Genomic DNA, 16,863 nt, shown 5'->3' on the forward strand with positions numbered 1-16,863 from the left:
TTACAGACAAATCATAGGCTGTATACAAAATTTCAAGAAAGAATAAGTGCTTAAAGGTGAATTTGTTGTCATTGTAAGGTCCTTCTGCTGCAGTTAAAAGAAAATTGAGAGTGGATGCCTACAAGGATTTTGACATGTTTTATGCACTCAATTCATATTTATATAGCTAAGAAGTATTTACAATCTTTGCAGTCAACCTATTAGCATTTCTCCTTAGGTTTTTCTGTTTCCTACAAAAGGCAAGCTGTTTTGTTTCTAATTCATCTGGGGATGGGAGAGGAAGGAAAGAGGCTTCAGATCCTTCAGATGCATACAATTTGACATGGGCTGTAGGTCTCCACTTCCTGGTGGCTTCCCAGCAGATGCTCAGCCATGACTCCATTGAATTCTAGTTATATGTCTGCAAATCTCTCCTTTTGTAAGATTTCCCTTTATCTCTGAAAAGAGGCAGTGAAGTTTGCTTTCCGCCAGGCTGCTTTGATTTCCTCCCAGTGCCTCGAACAAACGTCAACAGAGCACTCTAGGGGCAGTCCTGTGTGTCTCTCAAACAAAATAAAGGAGAATATGCAGTGAAAATCAGAATAGAGTCACTGCACTTTCTTCCCAACACTTTTTTAAATGTCTAGTGCATGATTAAGAGTTTATTGCATACTTATATGTAGAATACTGCTCTCAAGTCTTTGGATGCTGAAAAATATACACTGGAAATAAACCCTACTTAGGTGACAGAAAGATACATTCACATTTTTTTAAAACATAGGGACACAACTCTTGTGGTAAGGGATACAAGAAAAAGATTGACAATGAATTCTTAAGTGATGATTAATCTCTTTTTTTAAGTGATCACAAACAGGGAAAGGGAGCAAACTGCTGCCTTTAGAGGGTCATTGTTTTGTGAAATCCTGTGGGATAGGATTGTCCAACCAAAATCTGTTACAGAGGCATGTATCTCTTAGGCTACTATAAATATTTGTCAATGAGAATGGTTAATAGACATGCCATCTGGTGCCCCTGATCCTCAGAACTTGATAAGGTCTGCATTGTTATTGCTCAAGAGATTTTGGTTGTATAAACTCTGACACTCAGTAGATGTGCCGATGGAAAATGAAGGTCCAAGCTAACTTTGAGAGAATAAAAACATGCAGGTGGGGGAAACAAGGAAACTTGTCTCCTTTGACAAATGCACAGTTCTTGGTTAACTTCTCATTAGCAGTCTGCTCACATCTCATTCCCATTAAGAGTATTCCGTTTTCTTTGTCTAAAGTGTTGAGTGGTTATGAATAGTAAGGATAGACTATCTGTAATTATTTTTTAATTATTAATGGTTTTGTTAGATCCTTTCACTTTTACATTACATTTCTGTTAATGTAAGTTAAATCAAAATGTACTTCAGTTTCCAAGCTGTTCCCCAATGTATTTTTCATTCTTTCATAACATAACTTCAGGTTTCTATGAGGTGTCTATGAAACAGCTTGCCTTTCAGGAGTCACCCTCACCATGCTGATAAATTCAGGTACTGTTCAGTTTTACAGATTCACTGGCCATAGCATTGGTCACCACCAAATTTTAAATTCCCCATGGTACACAGTGCCAGAGCCTTGATAGGTGCAAAAGTAATTTGATCTTAGCCAGCATCTTTAAACCCAATACAGGAGCATCTACTTTATTTAGTGCCTCCAGATGAGAAGTCTTTTAGTGCTTTGTAGATATGAAGATTCTCTGTCAGTTAGGAACTAAAGGAGAGGAGAAAATGAGTGATTTTGGAAGGAACAGATATCAGAGGAAGAAACGAGTATCCAGGGTTTGTGGTCCAGCTAAGTACCTTGAAGAGTAGTTCAGTCAGAATAAATACTTAGTCATTAGGAATATAATGACACTCAAGGAAAAAAGAAAAAGAAAAAAAAGAATTTCCCTGGAGAATAGAAAAAAATTCACCTTTTAATCAATTTTTCCATCACCAGCAAAATGGTACTTTTTGAGACACACTATTCCCTCAGAGAAATAGTTCTGGTTTGGATTTACTAAGAGGCCTGGTTTCAGATGGAGAATGAAACAACTCACACAAATTCAAATAATAGCCCTAGTGAGACAAAGACAAAGAAGAGAGAATGAGTGAGATTTAAAACAATTTTGAAGTATACATAGCCCCAGGAATTCTGGTACCCTTACAGTTGGTGGTGTTTGGAAAAAAAAAAAAAGGTTACTAAATCAGCTCTGAGGAGTGGCAGGAGGTGGGAGCCCCTCGCAGGGCAGAATTCCTGGGCTGAGAACCTCAGGGAACAGACTTAGAGGAGCCAGATCTTAGCCAAAAGTGGATAGTTAACATACACTGCACTGAACACAAAAGCTACTAAAAATGACTGGATAAATTATGCAGAGGGATTTCTGGATTTCTTTCAAGTAATTAAGTTTCGATTTCTTGCATTTATTTTAGTTCTAGGAAGCGCAAGGCGCCATGGATTGCAAAAGTCTTCATTGATTGTTACAATGCTTTAAGTTTGATTTCGTGACTGGACTTAACTTTGAAAAGAGGTAAATACGCGGACCAAGGAAGTTCACTGCGATGAAAAATAATAGTTCGTTGGGACAAGTAGACACCAGGGAGCCTGCTTCTGAACAGAACGCAGAGGTCTGCCCCCCTCCCCCAAGTGGTGCGCGGGAAGAAGAGGGGAGAAACATAAACGTGTGCGCCTCTGAATGGGTGTGCGTTAGTGTCAGCACGTGTGTGTCTGTGTGCCTGCGTGTGTCAGCGCGCGCGCGCGTGTGTGTGTGCATGTGTGTGTATGTCTGCACAGATGTGTGAATTTGAGCCCCTGCGCTCTGGAAGAGTGCAGAATTAGGTGCTGAGGAGTTGAGTCCTTCCCCAGGGCAGATTTTAGTTTCCTGGAGCCTGTTGTGTTTGCTTCAAAGGTTAGTCGATGCCAGTGGGTCCAATCAGCTGTCCCTGAATGTGAGTTCCTGGTCACAATCAGCCTTAGCAAACCCACCAGACGGAATTGAGAGGGCGTCTAGGAGCCTCTAAGGCATCCAGCCAACCTGGGCTGGCTGCGTCCTGCGTCCCCCTCCTCCCAGTCTACTTTCCTTGAAACTGAGCTCTGCTTTCTTTCCTCCACCGGGAAAAGGGGAACCGTTGCTTTCTCTTCTGCCTTGTCTCCCTTCATTGTCTTGTCCTCTGCCGGGCTGCTTTCCTCTGGTCAGAATTACCTAGAGAGAGCCCCACGTGGCTTGCTCTGCGACTACAGGCCACTAGTCTTGGCCAAGTCTCTCCCAACCTCCAGAGTATGCTTTCTGGAGTGCTGATAGCCTTTGCTTTTGTCCCCTCTTCCTCCGTGAATTCTACTTGGTTTTGATGGGAGCGAAAGAGGTTGTGAGTCTGTATTTCTTTCTAGAAGGGCCTGGGAACTACTGGATGCAGAGATTTCTGGTGACACTCGCTGACTACTTGCATTGGAAGGTTAGGAGTGAGAGCCGGAAAGGCACTGAAAGGAGGCGGTTACCCTCGGGCATATGGGGTGCCTGGAATCTCTGGGCGAGAGAGCGACTCATTTAAAGCAGGAGAGGGGAGCTTGGGGCTCAAGGGGAGCCAGTGACAGGATAGTAGTTGACATACTCAGAAGAGAAAAGATGTTTGAACAAAACCCACCCATCATTCCTCAAACATAAACCCCTATCTCAATACTCAAGCCCCCAAGCGCCCTCCTTCACCTGAACTTTGCTCTGCAACTACATCCCTGGGAGCTTCCAGAAGTTTGTTTCAGGAATAATCCCTCTTGTGTCTTCTTTTTCCTCCCTGTAACAGTAGAGGCCACGGAAGAGTTTAATCTATGCCACCCCGCCACCCAAACTCTTCTGTCTCAAGCCACGAGTCCAGAGAGAGCTCAGGGTGTTCATCTTCTATTCAGAATCTGAAGCAGATTGGCTGATTTTGAAATCCGTACAAAAACAGATGGGGGAATCCCTCCTTTCCCTCTTTCTTCCACCAATCACTCTCTCCCTGAGATCGAAATGGTGAGCGAATAGGGCCAGATCTGTCTTTTCAGAAATCCTCCTTGTAGTCCAATTCAATTCTGTTTGAAATACAAAGAAATCACCCTGCCCTTAATAGATTAAAATTTAATAAAAGACATTAGGTCCGGTAAAATATGAATGCACTACTTAAAATTTTAATAGTAAATTAGGACCCAGATACAAGGAGGAGACAGAGATTTCTCCCCTTGGGATTGCTTCAGGGGCGGGCTGATTTTCGGGTGGGGGACGCCTACTGCGGGGACCCTTTGCCCAGAAGCCTGAGGGGAATCTCCAGCTACTCCTCCTCACCCAGGGGTGGGGGATAGTGAGGGGGGCTGCTCACATCTGTCTGCATCTGCCAGAGGACTGGACAGAAGCTATTGTCAAACAAAGAGGCTTGGCGAGAAGAAAGGAGCGCCTCCTGAAGTCACAGAGTTGATCCATTTTCCATCTTGCTGCTTAAAAAATAAAATGTTTATTTTCTTTTTGCTAGGTAGGTCTGTAGGTGTGTAGATGCACAAGTGTGAATAGCGGCTTGGGCATAGGTATGTTGAGGTCGTAGGAAGCAGGTTTCAAATTTTGGGTCATTTGCCTCCACCCCTTGGGTTTATTGCCAACTTTCTAATTGTTTAGATGGCTCCTGATAACTGCGGGGCTGGAGGTTTTCTTCCTTGGAGAGAGGCTTCCACACTCGCTGGAGCACTTTGCAGCAATGCCTGTGGGCAAAACCGAAATGGGTTTTGTTGATATCACCGCAACGATGTTGGTATTCTGGACACTCCTGAAAGGAGAGACTGCAAGATTTCAAGTCCTGGTTGATGAAGGAACAATTGCTTTTTCCCTCTAATGCAACACAATCACTATTCATTTTTCACTTTGAGTGGGGAATGGAGAAGCCTAACTCTATGACTTGACTTTTTAAAAATGTATGTGTTTTCTAGGAGGAAGGAAATACAGGTAAATAAACTCTTGAATTGCTCTACAACCACATTAATTTACTTCAAATTGATAATTTGAAAACACAGCCTTCCTTTTTTTCTTGTCTGGAATTAGGGATATCACTGAGAAATATCAGAGAGATAAAAAAGTTATGTTAAATTTTTTTTGATGATATATGAATTTCAGTTATCAGGAAAATATTCTCATGGGAGTTTTCTTGCTTAAAATAGTTTTGGTCAATAAATTCCATATCAAACAAAGTTTGTCCAGTCATTTCAACAGTGTCCCTCTCTATTTCATGAATTTATTATAGTACCGTATTTACCATATGAAGTGGTGACAAGTGTTTAGCATTTTGGAGATCAGTTGTCAGTTACTATTAAAATCAAGATTAATTCATATTAACGATATGCATTTCTCAATACTCCCAGGTGACAACATACATTAAAACAACTATTGCAAGTAATTAAGCTCAATGAAGGGGGAGGGGACAGAGGGAGGTTCAAAACACCCCAAATATTTGATTTTCAATTCAAGTTCAGCAGACTGTTGCCACAATAATGCTCGGGAAACTCCTCAGGGTTACTTTTTACTTTACATCTAATTAGGCACCTAATGAAAGAGAAGAATTTTTTCCCCATGTGGCTTTTCTCCTTGATATTCTTGTGCCTTTATTTAAACACATAAACACACTATTTAGGAGTGGCAATACCCAAAAGTTTCTCATGTGATTAACTTGCTATAATAATCTGGGGGAATTAGAAAGAAGAGGACATTTGTCTTCCGGTTATTTTCCATCTTCACTCTCACTTTGGCCCTTTGGCCTTTACCCAGTACGGATAGAAAATACACCCAAAATATTTTTATGGATTTTTTTATTAGGCTTTAAAGATGCTCAACAGTTAATACTAATTAGACCATCCAAAGCCTTTTGAAGATTAAGCAAATTGGACAACCCTTGTTAATTAGAACATAATTTGAAGTTTGAAATTATATCACTGATGAAGTAGTCTAATTAGTATGACGATATGTTAATGGACCAGTGAGACATAGTGCCGATAGAGTTTGGCATGAACCTCTTCACGGCTTGCAGGAAATCCTCCCTCCTATACCGACATTAATAAAAGATTTCTATAGACTTCAGCCTTTCCACGATGACATACAATTTATAGTACACACAATGCATTAGCTCATAGTACTGCTCAATTTTTTCACTATTATGAAAACTAATAAATTCGTCAAGCTGAATTAAGCATACAAATCAGATGAGGCATAGCAGATTACACAGTGAAGCGCGGTGTCTCCCGAGCCTAAATGAAATTTCAATCTAATAATTCCTTCCTGGCCCAGTCATAATTTGTTTAGAGATGTTGTTCTACTTCTTTCAAAGCGCTATTCGCACTATAATTAAATGATACTCAAGCTTTTAACTTTGATTTATTTCATTTCTTGAAGCTTGAGACAGAGCTGTACAATGTCATTTTTTTTTTGTTTCCTTGAAAATTACTCTGGCTGTTGTTGAGGTAGAAATTAAACACCTAAGCACTTACTTGAACCGTCCGGCACAAGCCACATTCATTCACGTGAACACTCCCCTTTCCCTACCCCATGTCCAGGTTTCGCTGAGCTCACACCCGGCAACACTGCTGCTAGGAGTTCCCTTCGGCTACTATTTATTATTTTCCTCCACACAGGGGAAGAGAAAGGGAAGCCCGAGAGGATCCAGGGAAAGCAGAAGGGGGTTAAGGACCATGGACAGAGCCCGTCGCGCGCTCGTTGCTGCCGCCTTCCCCAGCACTCTGGCGGCTCCTGAGGACAGCGGTCCCATCTTGAAACCGCTATTCCGCCCGGCTGAGGTCAGGGGTGGACAGGCGGTCCCCTACTCTCCACCGCCGCTTCCGGGAGCTGACCACCCGAGGGTTCCCCTTTTCCACTCTCCTTCCCACTCTGTTTTTGTCCCAGCGCGCGCCAGCGCCTCTCAGGCCTGCCGCCTGCTCTCGCACCTGCTCGCCTTCCCCAGGCGCCCAGTGCCTGCACCTGCTCCCGGTCAACCCCCGTCCGGATTGGGCCACCCGCGGGTTCCTGCGTCGGGGTCCCGGGGCCTTCTCACCCTCGCCTGCACCCTGCTCCTTCCGCTCTCTAGGGAGGTGACAGCAGCCCCCAACACCGCGGGAAGTATAGAGAAAATGGGATCCAGAAGGAGAGGAAGTAGTGTGTGTGTGTGTGTGTGTGTGTGTGTGTGTGTGTGACAGAGAGAGAGAGATAGATAGAAAGAGATTATCTCCTTTTGCAACTGGAACCAAGAGTGTGTGTCCATCTCTAGGAAAAGTGGTCTGCACTGGGACTGGGACAGAAGTGGGAGTGAAGTGTCAGCTAAAAATAGGCTCCGCACCGAGAGGCTGTGGAAATGAAGATAAGTGAGGTTTGTGCCAGCCCCCGAGGGTGTGTGTGTGTGTGTCTGTGTTGTGGGGTGTATTCAGCAGCATATGCGCTGTGTAATTTCTGACCTTCCCTCTCCCTGTCAGTTGCCCCTTCTTCCTTTGATTGTGGCTAATGAAGAATAATAAATCCAGGGGCAGGGTTTGCCAGTGGATCCTTCCAAGACTCAACTCGAACTGTACTGGATACAGGGAGGAGGAGGAAGAGAAAAGGGGGGCAAGAGGAGCGTGTGTGTGTGCCTGTGTGTATGTGTGTGTGTGTTGTGGGAGGGGTGGGGACAGCGGGGAGGGGGAGGAGTCGCATGCGCACAGACGACCCGAGCCTGCTCCGCGGCTGTCCAATCCGCTGAGAGCTGCGAGAAATCGAGTGAGAGAAAGCCCTGCAGCCCCTCCGACCCCATGTCTCTTTGGCACCAGGCACCCGCCGGGCCGTGGGGGGCTCGTAGCCGAACGCCGACCTCCGCTCGTATTGGGCTGGGAGTTCAGAGCCGCGCGCAGAACCCGGGTTGGCCGCAACGTCTGTGTTCTCAGCGGTGGCCGGGAACCTGGGATCAGGGTCACCTGAGCTGACGGGGTGGGGGCGGGCCGAGTGGGGTTGGAAGCCTGGAACTTAGTGGTAAGCAGGAGGCGTAGGAGGTGGCAGCCAGGTAAGAGGCACTCTTACCTACCCAACGCTGGCTTGGGCCGCAACTTTATTTGGGAGTTTCTTTTTCCGGTGAGACAGAGACCCGGCAGAAGAAGCGGGAGGGGCTGGAGGCTGGTCCTTAGGTAGGCACTGCCCGGCGACTGGAGCGCGGACCTGGCCATTTGGGTGGGGTTGAGTGGGGGCGCGATTGTGAGTAGCAGCCGCGGGACGCTGCGAAGGGGCGGCGGCAACAGAGCACGGGCGGGGGCAGAAAAGAGGCGGCGGAGGGCGCGGTGGGGGAGCGCGAGGCGAGTGCTGAGAGAGCAGAAAGGACTCAAGCCTGAGGGGAGTAGAGAGGAAGAAGGGGCAACGCGAGAAACCGAACAGGAGCCGGCGTTTCCTGGCAAGGGAGGGCGGAGGCGCGCGGGAGAGAGGGAGAGAGGGAGGGCGGGGGGCGCGGGGGTAGGCGCGGGGAGAGGGGAGTATAACTCGCCGGCCGCGAGGAGCGGGGGCAGTTTCGGGTGCCGAGGTCTGCAGCTAGCGGCAAGCGGAGTCAGGCATCCGTTCAGACTGACAGCAGAGGCGGCGAAGGAGCGCGTAGCCGAGATCAGGCGTACAGAGTCCGGAGGCGGCGGCGGGTGAGCTCAACTTCGCACAGCCCTTCCCAGCTCCAGCCCCGGCTGGCCCGGCACTTCTCGGAGGGTCCCGGCAGCCGGGACCAGTGAGTGCCTCTACGGACCAGCGCCCCGGCGGGCGGGAAGATGATGATGATGTCCCTGAACAGCAAGCAGGCGTTTAGCATGCCGCACGGCGGCAGCCTGCACGTGGAGCCCAAGTACTCGGCACTGCACAGCACCTCGCCGGGCTCCTCGGCTCCCATCGCGCCCTCGGCCAGCTCCCCCAGCAGCTCGAGCAACGCTGGTGGTGGCGGCGGCGGCGGCGGCGGCGGCGGCGGCGGCGGAGGCCGAAGCAGCAGCTCCAGCAGCAGTGGCAGCAGCGGCGGCGGGGGCTCGGAGGCTATGCGGAGAGCCTGTCTTCCAACCCCACCGGTGCGTATTTCTGCATAATCACCGCTTAAAGGCACATTTTGACAGCCCCCTTTATCTGCTTGATGTTTTTTTCATGTCTGCACAGCAAATCACCCCACACCTCCAACCAATTTTCCCCTCTCTCTCTCTTAAGTATTCAGCAGGTCTTGCCTTTCATATTAATTTTTATGACCTGGGATGTTGCCTGTGCGCGTGTTGTGTTGTGTTTCGTTGTGTCTACAGGCTCACTTTCCTCCTCCTCCTGCACTCTCGGCTTCTTTCTGTGGCTTCCCTCTTTTTCTCTTCACCTCTGTTTTCAGGATTATTATTATTATTATTTTAACGATCTGGGAATGTTGTAGGCGCGGCGACGGTGTCGAGCCCTGGGCCGGGGCTTCCGGAGAGAGGGCGTACAATTCCCTGCTGAGCGTAATGTGTGCCTTCTACTTACAATTGCAGAGCAATATATTCGGCGGGCTGGATGAGAGTCTGCTGGCCCGCGCCGAGGCTCTGGCAGCCGTGGACATCGTCTCCCAGAGCAAGAGCCACCACCACCATCCACCCCACCACAGCCCCTTCAAACCGGACGCCACCTACCACACTATGAATACCATCCCGTGCACGTCGGCCGCCTCTTCTTCATCGGTGCCCATCTCGCACCCTTCCGCGTTGGCGGGCACGCACCACCACCACCACCATCACCACCACCACCACCACCAACCGCACCAGGCGCTGGAGGGCGAGCTGCTGGAGCACCTGAGTCCCGGGCTGGCCCTGGGCGCTATGGCGGGCCCCGACGGCGCTGTGGTGTCCACGCCGGCTCACGCGCCGCACATGGCCACCATGAACCCCATGCACCAAGCAGCGCTCAGCATGGCCCACGCGCACGGGCTGCCGTCGCACATGGGCTGCATGAGCGACGTGGACGCCGACCCGCGGGACCTGGAGGCATTCGCCGAGCGCTTCAAGCAGCGACGCATCAAGCTGGGGGTGACCCAGGCAGATGTGGGCTCCGCGCTGGCCAACCTCAAGATCCCCGGCGTGGGCTCGCTTAGCCAGAGCACCATCTGCAGGTTCGAGTCCCTCACACTGTCCCACAATAATATGATCGCGCTCAAACCCATCCTGCAGGCATGGCTCGAGGAGGCCGAGAAGTCCCACCGCGAGAAGCTCACCAAGCCTGAACTCTTCAATGGCGCGGAGAAGAAGCGCAAGCGCACGTCCATCGCTGCGCCAGAGAAGCGCTCGCTCGAAGCCTACTTTGCCATTCAGCCTCGGCCCTCCTCTGAAAAGATCGCCGCCATCGCGGAGAAGCTGGACCTGAAGAAAAACGTGGTGCGCGTCTGGTTCTGCAACCAGAGGCAGAAACAGAAAAGAATGAAATATTCCGCCGGCATTTAGAAGACTCTTGGCCTCTCCAGAGACGCCCCTTTCCTCGTCCGCTCTTTTCTCTCCTCTCTTCTGCCTCTTTTCACTTTTGGCGACTAGAAACAATTCCAGTAAATGTGAATCTCGACAAATCGAGGACTGAAGAGGGAGCGAACGAGCGAACAACTGAGCCCAAGCCGGTGAGAATGTGAAACAGTTTCTCAAAGGAAAGAATAACAAAAGATGGTATTTGTCTGTTGTAGCAAAGTTGTCCCTTTGAACCCCACCTCGGCTTCTTCAGAGGAAGTGTGGAGATGGCTGTTTGCAGGAAGGCAGACGAGACAGTGTTTAAAAAGTCCACAAGAATGATCAAGTAAGATTTGTTTTTATTCTTACAGACATCACCCGTGTTCAAGTTTAAAAGTACACTTTGCAACTATTTTTCAGAAATAGAAATTGATTCAGGACTAAAACTTTAAACTAGAGTTGATGCTTAATGTGATAGAGACATCTCTAAAGTATTTTGAATTTTAAAAAAAGATGGCAGATTTTCTGCATTTACACTGTATATTATATATATATTTTTATTGTGGTTCTTACCCCCTTTTCCTTCTCTGAAGTGTTAATGCTTAAGAAAAGAGTTGCGCCTGCTGTGTTCACTGATCTTGAAAGCTATTATTAGATTATTGCAGAACAACCCTCTGTAAATTATTAATTTATCTCTCTAGCAACTTAATTTTGTGCACATTCTAATTAATTAAACTTCTTCCGTCTAAAAAAAGTGGGGGAAATGTATAGCTAGTAACGTTCAAAAAATTTTGTTTGATGAGTTTACCGAATTTTTACAGCTTTCCTCCTATACTGTGTTCCTTTTGACCCATTTGTATATTCTCACTTGAATGAAGATTGTTTTTTTCTTTGTTTTTACTGGTAGTGTTCTGATTTGTGAGTCGACACTCAGTAATGGATGTCTTAATCGTGTAGACCTGATTCACTGTCTGAAGTATTGTTTACTTCGTTACATATTTAATGGGGATTCCCACATTGTCCCCATGACACATGAGCGCTCTCACTTACCCTTACACACACACACACACACACACACACCTCTAACAGAAGGGAAGAAGCAGTTGGAAGCATGACCGATGCACCATTTTCTAGTTTTAGGTGCATTTGCCACTTGGTGTTTGCCCTTCAGATTTTAGATTTCACCAAGGTATTTCAGTCTTCCAGTTTTCAATTGCTTTGTTGGCTACATGTTAATATTTATAGGAATACTTCAGTTTTTCCTTTTGGAGGTTTGTTTGTAGAAAAACTAATTTGAACTATAAGAAAGACAGTGCACTGCTTGTAAATTCACATTGTTTGGAAAAATTCTTTTGGAACAAAAAATTAGGTACATGATAACTGGTACCTTATCTACTGTAAATATTTCATTAAAAATGATGCACACATAGATATATTCTTACAAATTTTGCTGTATTGCTGTTCTCTTTGAGGCTCTCCAAAGTCTTGAGTTCTGTATATGGCCTGGTTTCTTGTTTTTATTAATAGATGGTTTATTTACTATGGTAATGTATTAATTTATTTTTGGTGTTGTTCGATTGTCTTTCATTGAAGAGATAATTTTAATGTTTTATTGGCAACGTATGCTGCTTTTTCATTAAAATATGCTATTAAAATTAAATGGCTTTTAAAATGTGATGTTGTTTTAATCATTTATGTGGGAAGTGTTTTGGTGGGAGACTTTTTTAAAGGAGGAAGCACATTTTGATGATTTATTAGGGAGTGGTTGTTATCAAAGTATAGCTTGGACTTAGTAAGGGCTGTTTCTATGGTAAAGTATTAAAGAACAAGGTTTATAACCGCCTTTTAATAGTGAGAACTCATCTCACAGGATACTTCACTTTTCTGCTCAGAAGAAATTATGATATTTGGCTCCAAATATCTCCCTTGGAGTTCTTCCTTCAGACTTGCAATAATCCTGCAAAAAAGAATCTTTATAAGCAGAGATATTGGATGGAAACAATTTCATGCATTCCCTCCCAACTATCAGGAGTAAAAGTAAGAAAGAAACTCAGCTCACTTTTCAGCAGCTCTAGGAGACTGGGTGTGGCAAGAGCCAAGGCCTGGTTGGAGGAGTACAGAACCCTGGTTGAGGCCCAGAAGCAAGCCCACCATAGCTTTCAGTTTGGTCACCACCACTGGAAAGCAAGGAACCCAGACAGAGCAGGAAGCACCTGAGTTGCTGGCTTAGGAAATAAGGCCTCTCTCTCTCTCTCTCTCTCTCTCTCTCTCTCTCTCTCTCTCTCTCTCTCCTCATTTCCCATGACCTTTAAGGAAACTCACATAGCAGAGTAGGGCTGAGGAAGAAATTCTGTGTAGTTAGGAGTAGCAAATTTTTGCCCTCTTCTGTGATTCACCCTGACATCAGAGTTGGTGGGAAGTCTGTCTGACACTGGTTTGGCACTGACACAGGAAAATTCGTCATGTTTGATGCAGTCATTTCTTCTTCTGATCCTAGCTTAAAGACATCTCTCCACTATTTTAATAATATTCAGACTCCCTACAACAGTTGGACAACATAATACCAGGTTTTCAAAGGTATTTTTTCCCTCAGTAAGTATCTGGTTTAGATATTTATGTTATTAATATCTCACACTATTAATTAATATGAGAATATCACGCTAATCTATAGCTCAAATGAGAGGAAGATCTAGGTCATTCTCCAGGAGTAATTCTATTAACCTGAGCTGTGACTCTTCTGATACAGAATTATCTTGAGATGTTTCTTATTTTGGAGACAAGATTAGGAAATATCCTATGAGTCAATGAAAGTCGTTACAGTGGCTCAAGTTGGGATTAAATGTTGTTGGAAATATCATAATTTCTGGAGGTAACAAAAAGAGTTGTGAAAGTTAGATGGAGAATGGGTGGAGGGACCTCTTTTTATTACTGAAAAAGGAAAGACACCTGAGGAAACAAAATCTAAGTGTCCATTACAAATAATGAGATGTTGCATAGGTGCCTAAGAAAACATTAAAACTTGTAGGAATTTAAAAGAAAAAATTGTGAGTTCAAGTATAGTAATATTGATGGTTTAGTTCTATTTCTGTCTTGAAGGCTGAAAGTTTCTTCTTCTGTCTCCCTTCGTATTCTTAGATTCGGTTTTCCTGAAAGTCTTTTCAAACAGCCAGCATATGCTGAGTTAAAGTCAGCTCGGTTCTATGCTGAGTACTAATTTCAGTACCATGGATAGTAACCGTAGAACTCAGCCCTACTCCAACTCACCTTTGACCAAAAAGTTTTTAGCTAGCTGGACAACCTTCGGCTTGCTTGCTTTCTCCAGAGTGGAGAAAATGAATAAAATGGCTTGAATGTAAAACAGATTCAGCTTCCTTATCTAGGATAAAAATGATCTTCAATAAATAACACCGTTCCCTTCTCATATGTGGATTTTTAGTGAAAGGGAGTTAGTTGGTGGGAAGTAAAACAGATGTGCTAGTGTCTTATTTCTACAAATATAGCATCTTTAAATGAAGATGAAAACACTGTAAAAGTAGTAGAAATTGAGAAACATATTGAACAGAAATAAAAAGGAGTTTTAAAAGTACTTTTGAAGTACATGACAGCTTGCATATGTGCATACATGCCTAAGATTTTTGCGAGAAAAGTGACATAACAACAACTATCCATATACTTCCATAGTTGAGAGTAAAGGCCTATATTTTCTCCTAATTCACCAGGTGTTCTTTGTCTCTCGTGTTCCTGGACTTTCAAAAGTACATCACATTTTGTTAATCTTTTCTGTGTTAGGGTAAGAGAAAACTTTCTTGTCTGCAAGATGGAAGTATTTTCATTCTTAGAGCAAGCTCAAATGTGTGTTGTATGGGAAAAGCTGAAAAGAAATATATTCTGAAGTTTTTACTAATGAGAGTTGCAGAGATACTAGAGATAATACCAAACCAAAGAGATTTGGAGAGAAGAGGGTTGGTCTTAAAGAAAAAATTAAAGGTAAGAATAGGCTGAACCATGTATAAATTGTTGAGAAATATCCATTTGGTGTTGACTTTCAAAATACTCAAATGGATAAGTAGTAGAATGTGTCTGAAAAGTCTTGTCATATCAATCAAATCCACTGGCATTCATGACTTATTTCCTAATTTTCCCCAAGGTCCACAATTGCTATTTTGTTGGAAAGAGATATAAATTGACTTAGTAGCATATTCAGACATCTTGAATTTTATGTTTCAGTATTATGTAGTTTTTTAGACTTCCCTAAAAGCAAATGATCCAATCTTTTTGTTCAATGTGGTCATCTAAATCCAAACTGAAATAGAACAGAAATGATCATGTAAGCCTGGTTGATATCTAAGTACCCTCCATAGCAAAACATTATAATTCAGTTTCTTTCAGATACCTGACATTACATCAGTTGATCAACTCTTTATCAGATTATGTTTCATTGACACATAGCCTGGAGAAAAATAATGTAAGTATGAAAAAGCAAATGAAGTAATTAGGATTTACATACAATGTAATACTCTTCTGTTTTCCATAAAATTGATTTTTTAAAAAAGTGATGATACATAACTACACTTTTCAATATCAAGGAGAGATCCTGTTACTTCTCTTTGTGAAGAGAATTGAAATTTTTTCAAGATAATTGAAATTTTTTCAAGATAATTGGAATTTGAGGGATAAAAATGTTTTATCTCAAACTTCAAATATATCAATTTATTTTGACCTATCTATTCGAGAAGCTCTTGAGGAGACAGTGAAAAATGCATAGAAAAATTCCCTTGAGTTTAAAAAGAATATTATTCACAGAATGAAGCTCAAAATTTTTCTAGACAGGCAATGACAGTAAGTTTAGAAATTTGTTTTTGGAATTGTTTCGCAAAAACTATTTATATCTCTAAGTAAATGATTCATATTAGAACTCAAAACTTCACTTTACTTTTCAGTTGGTCTTGGAGGGGGTTGCTGCAACAGAAGGGAAAAAAAGTTGGATTGGTATCCTGTAGGACAAAATGGAAGACAAAGGTTTTCTGACAGTTGTGATGTTCCTGAAGTCCACATTTGTCAGGAGACAGATTTATGGCAATGAGAAAAAAAAATCACTAAATTTCCCCTGCTTTGCTCCTTTAAAGGAGCCATTCCCAGTACTGAAAGTCTATTATGAGTGAATTAATAAATTACACAGCGAATTATTAAATCCAGATAATTACAAGGAATAAGTAAGTAATCATTAGTTATCTCAGCTAATTACTGTGGGTCAGAGCCAGCCAGAATGTGAAATCCTCCGCGGGAATTGAAATTAACTTTGCACAGTGAGTCTCTCTGCTTGACATCCCCAGTCTGTAGGCGCATGGCAGCTCCCCTGTGAGCTAGTCTTTCTATTTAACTTGGAGAGAATAGAAATAAAATTAAGTGGCAATGTGATAATAGGAAGCTGCTCAGAAAGCAAACTGTGGGTTTTATTCTGTACTTTCAACGCTTGGAGATGAAAAGCTTTATTTACACCGTTTCAAAAATTTAAAGCACCCTTGTTGAGATGGGCTCCCCGAACACACATGCACACATATCTACAGTCGACTGGTGTGACAGTCAGATTAGCAGCACATGAAGAAGGCTCAAGAACAAACGTTTTGAGTCCTCTCTCTCTGTCTGTCTCCCTCCCTCCCTCCCTCCCTTCCTCCTTCTCTTCCTCCCTCCTCTCTCTTCCTCTCCCTCTCTCTCTCTCAGATGTGGGGAGTGGGGGAGGCAGCAGTCAGAAATAAAAAAATGAAAATATTGCTCTTTGCTTTCATTCCACGCAGTGGAAAGACTGTGGAAAAGTGCAGCCTGGCCTAATAATCTGTTTGTTTTGTTTTTGTTTGGGTAACAATATGCTTTCATCTTGCCACAGGAAGAACCAGCTTAGTGCAAACGTTGTCTCTCGTTGATCTTTTGCCAGATGCTTCGAGAACTGGTGTCACTTTTTTTTTCTCATATAGCATCACTTTCTGAAGCCAGCCTCCCCTATCCTCTCTCCCTCCACTCCCACCAACCCCTGAGGCCTTCTCAAAGGGCAGAGAAGAGGGCAAAGCCTGGTGCCCGTTGGAAAGTGGAAAATACATCTGTGTGATAATGTAATTGTGTGTATCACAGGGCTGGATAAGCCTGGACATATCAAGAAAAAAAAAATCTGCTGTTAATGTATTAAAATGAGGGGGGTGGAATCTAAGAGCTTTTTTTTTTTTTTTAATCAATTGCAATTAGATGGACAGTCTTTCTGCTCATTCCCTGCTCTAGTCTGGGATGATAATAAAAATTTAATGAAGCCTGGGACGAGCAGAGCGCTCTGTCTAGGGACCGTGGAATAGAATATTTTAACTGTACATTTATACCAACTGTCTGGCTTCAAAGACGTGACTGCTTTTAATCTCGAATTAGAAAACCACAGACTTGAAAT

General features: G+C 44.1%; 1 protein-coding gene across 1 annotated transcript, besides 5 other annotated features; it reads left to right on the forward strand.

Annotated features, from left to right (window-relative positions):
- Positions 2,732 to 3,232: an enhancer, noted in NCBI's record as "H3K4me1 hESC enhancer chr4:147554253-147554753 (GRCh37/hg19 assembly coordinates)". NCBI's record gives its function as "activates a minimal SCP1, AML or CMV promoter by ChIP-STARR-seq in primed H9 embryonic stem cells {active_cell/tissue: H9 hESC(primed)}" and the evidence as "EXISTENCE:reporter gene assay evidence [ECO:0000049][PMID:30033119]".
- Positions 6,878 to 7,459: an enhancer, noted in NCBI's record as "H3K27ac-H3K4me1 hESC enhancer chr4:147558399-147558980 (GRCh37/hg19 assembly coordinates)". NCBI's record gives its function as "activates a minimal SCP1, AML or CMV promoter by ChIP-STARR-seq in naive H9 embryonic stem cells {active_cell/tissue: H9 hESC(naive)}" and the evidence as "EXISTENCE:reporter gene assay evidence [ECO:0000049][PMID:30033119]".
- Positions 7,460 to 8,041: an enhancer, noted in NCBI's record as "H3K27ac-H3K4me1 hESC enhancer chr4:147558981-147559562 (GRCh37/hg19 assembly coordinates)". NCBI's record gives its function as "activates a minimal SCP1, AML or CMV promoter by ChIP-STARR-seq in naive H9 embryonic stem cells {active_cell/tissue: H9 hESC(naive)}" and the evidence as "EXISTENCE:reporter gene assay evidence [ECO:0000049][PMID:30033119]".
- Positions 8,042 to 8,622: an enhancer, noted in NCBI's record as "H3K4me1 hESC enhancer chr4:147559563-147560143 (GRCh37/hg19 assembly coordinates)". NCBI's record gives its function as "activates a minimal SCP1, AML or CMV promoter by ChIP-STARR-seq in naive H9 embryonic stem cells {active_cell/tissue: H9 hESC(naive)}" and the evidence as "EXISTENCE:reporter gene assay evidence [ECO:0000049][PMID:30033119]".
- POU4F2 (POU class 4 homeobox 2) lies at positions 8,524 to 12,105 on the forward strand. Its single transcript, NM_004575.3, has 2 exons — positions 8,524 to 9,059; positions 9,498 to 12,105. Exons 1-2 carry the CDS (start codon positions 8,772 to 8,774, stop codon positions 10,437 to 10,439), a joined length of 1,230 nt encoding a protein of 409 aa, NP_004566.2. The 5' UTR covers positions 8,524 to 8,771; the 3' UTR covers positions 10,440 to 12,105.
- Positions 8,623 to 9,204: an enhancer, noted in NCBI's record as "H3K4me1 hESC enhancer chr4:147560144-147560725 (GRCh37/hg19 assembly coordinates)". NCBI's record gives its function as "activates a minimal SCP1, AML or CMV promoter by ChIP-STARR-seq in naive H9 embryonic stem cells {active_cell/tissue: H9 hESC(naive)}" and the evidence as "EXISTENCE:reporter gene assay evidence [ECO:0000049][PMID:30033119]".
- Positions 12,106 to 16,863: the final 4,758 nt, after the last annotated feature.

Source organism: Homo sapiens, chromosome 4 (genome assembly GCF_000001405.40).
Source record: "Homo sapiens chromosome 4, GRCh38.p14 Primary Assembly".
NCBI lineage: Eukaryota > Metazoa > Chordata > Mammalia > Primates > Hominidae > Homo > Homo sapiens.

Coding starts and splice junctions, on each gene's coding strand:
- POU4F2 (NM_004575.3), top strand. CDS start 8,772: ATGATGATGATGTCCCTGAACAGCAAGCAGGCGTTTAGCATGCCGCAC. Junction 9,060..9,497: donor CCTGTCTTCCAACCCCACCG/GTGCGTATTTCT, acceptor TTACAATTGCAG/AGCAATATATTCGGCGGGCT.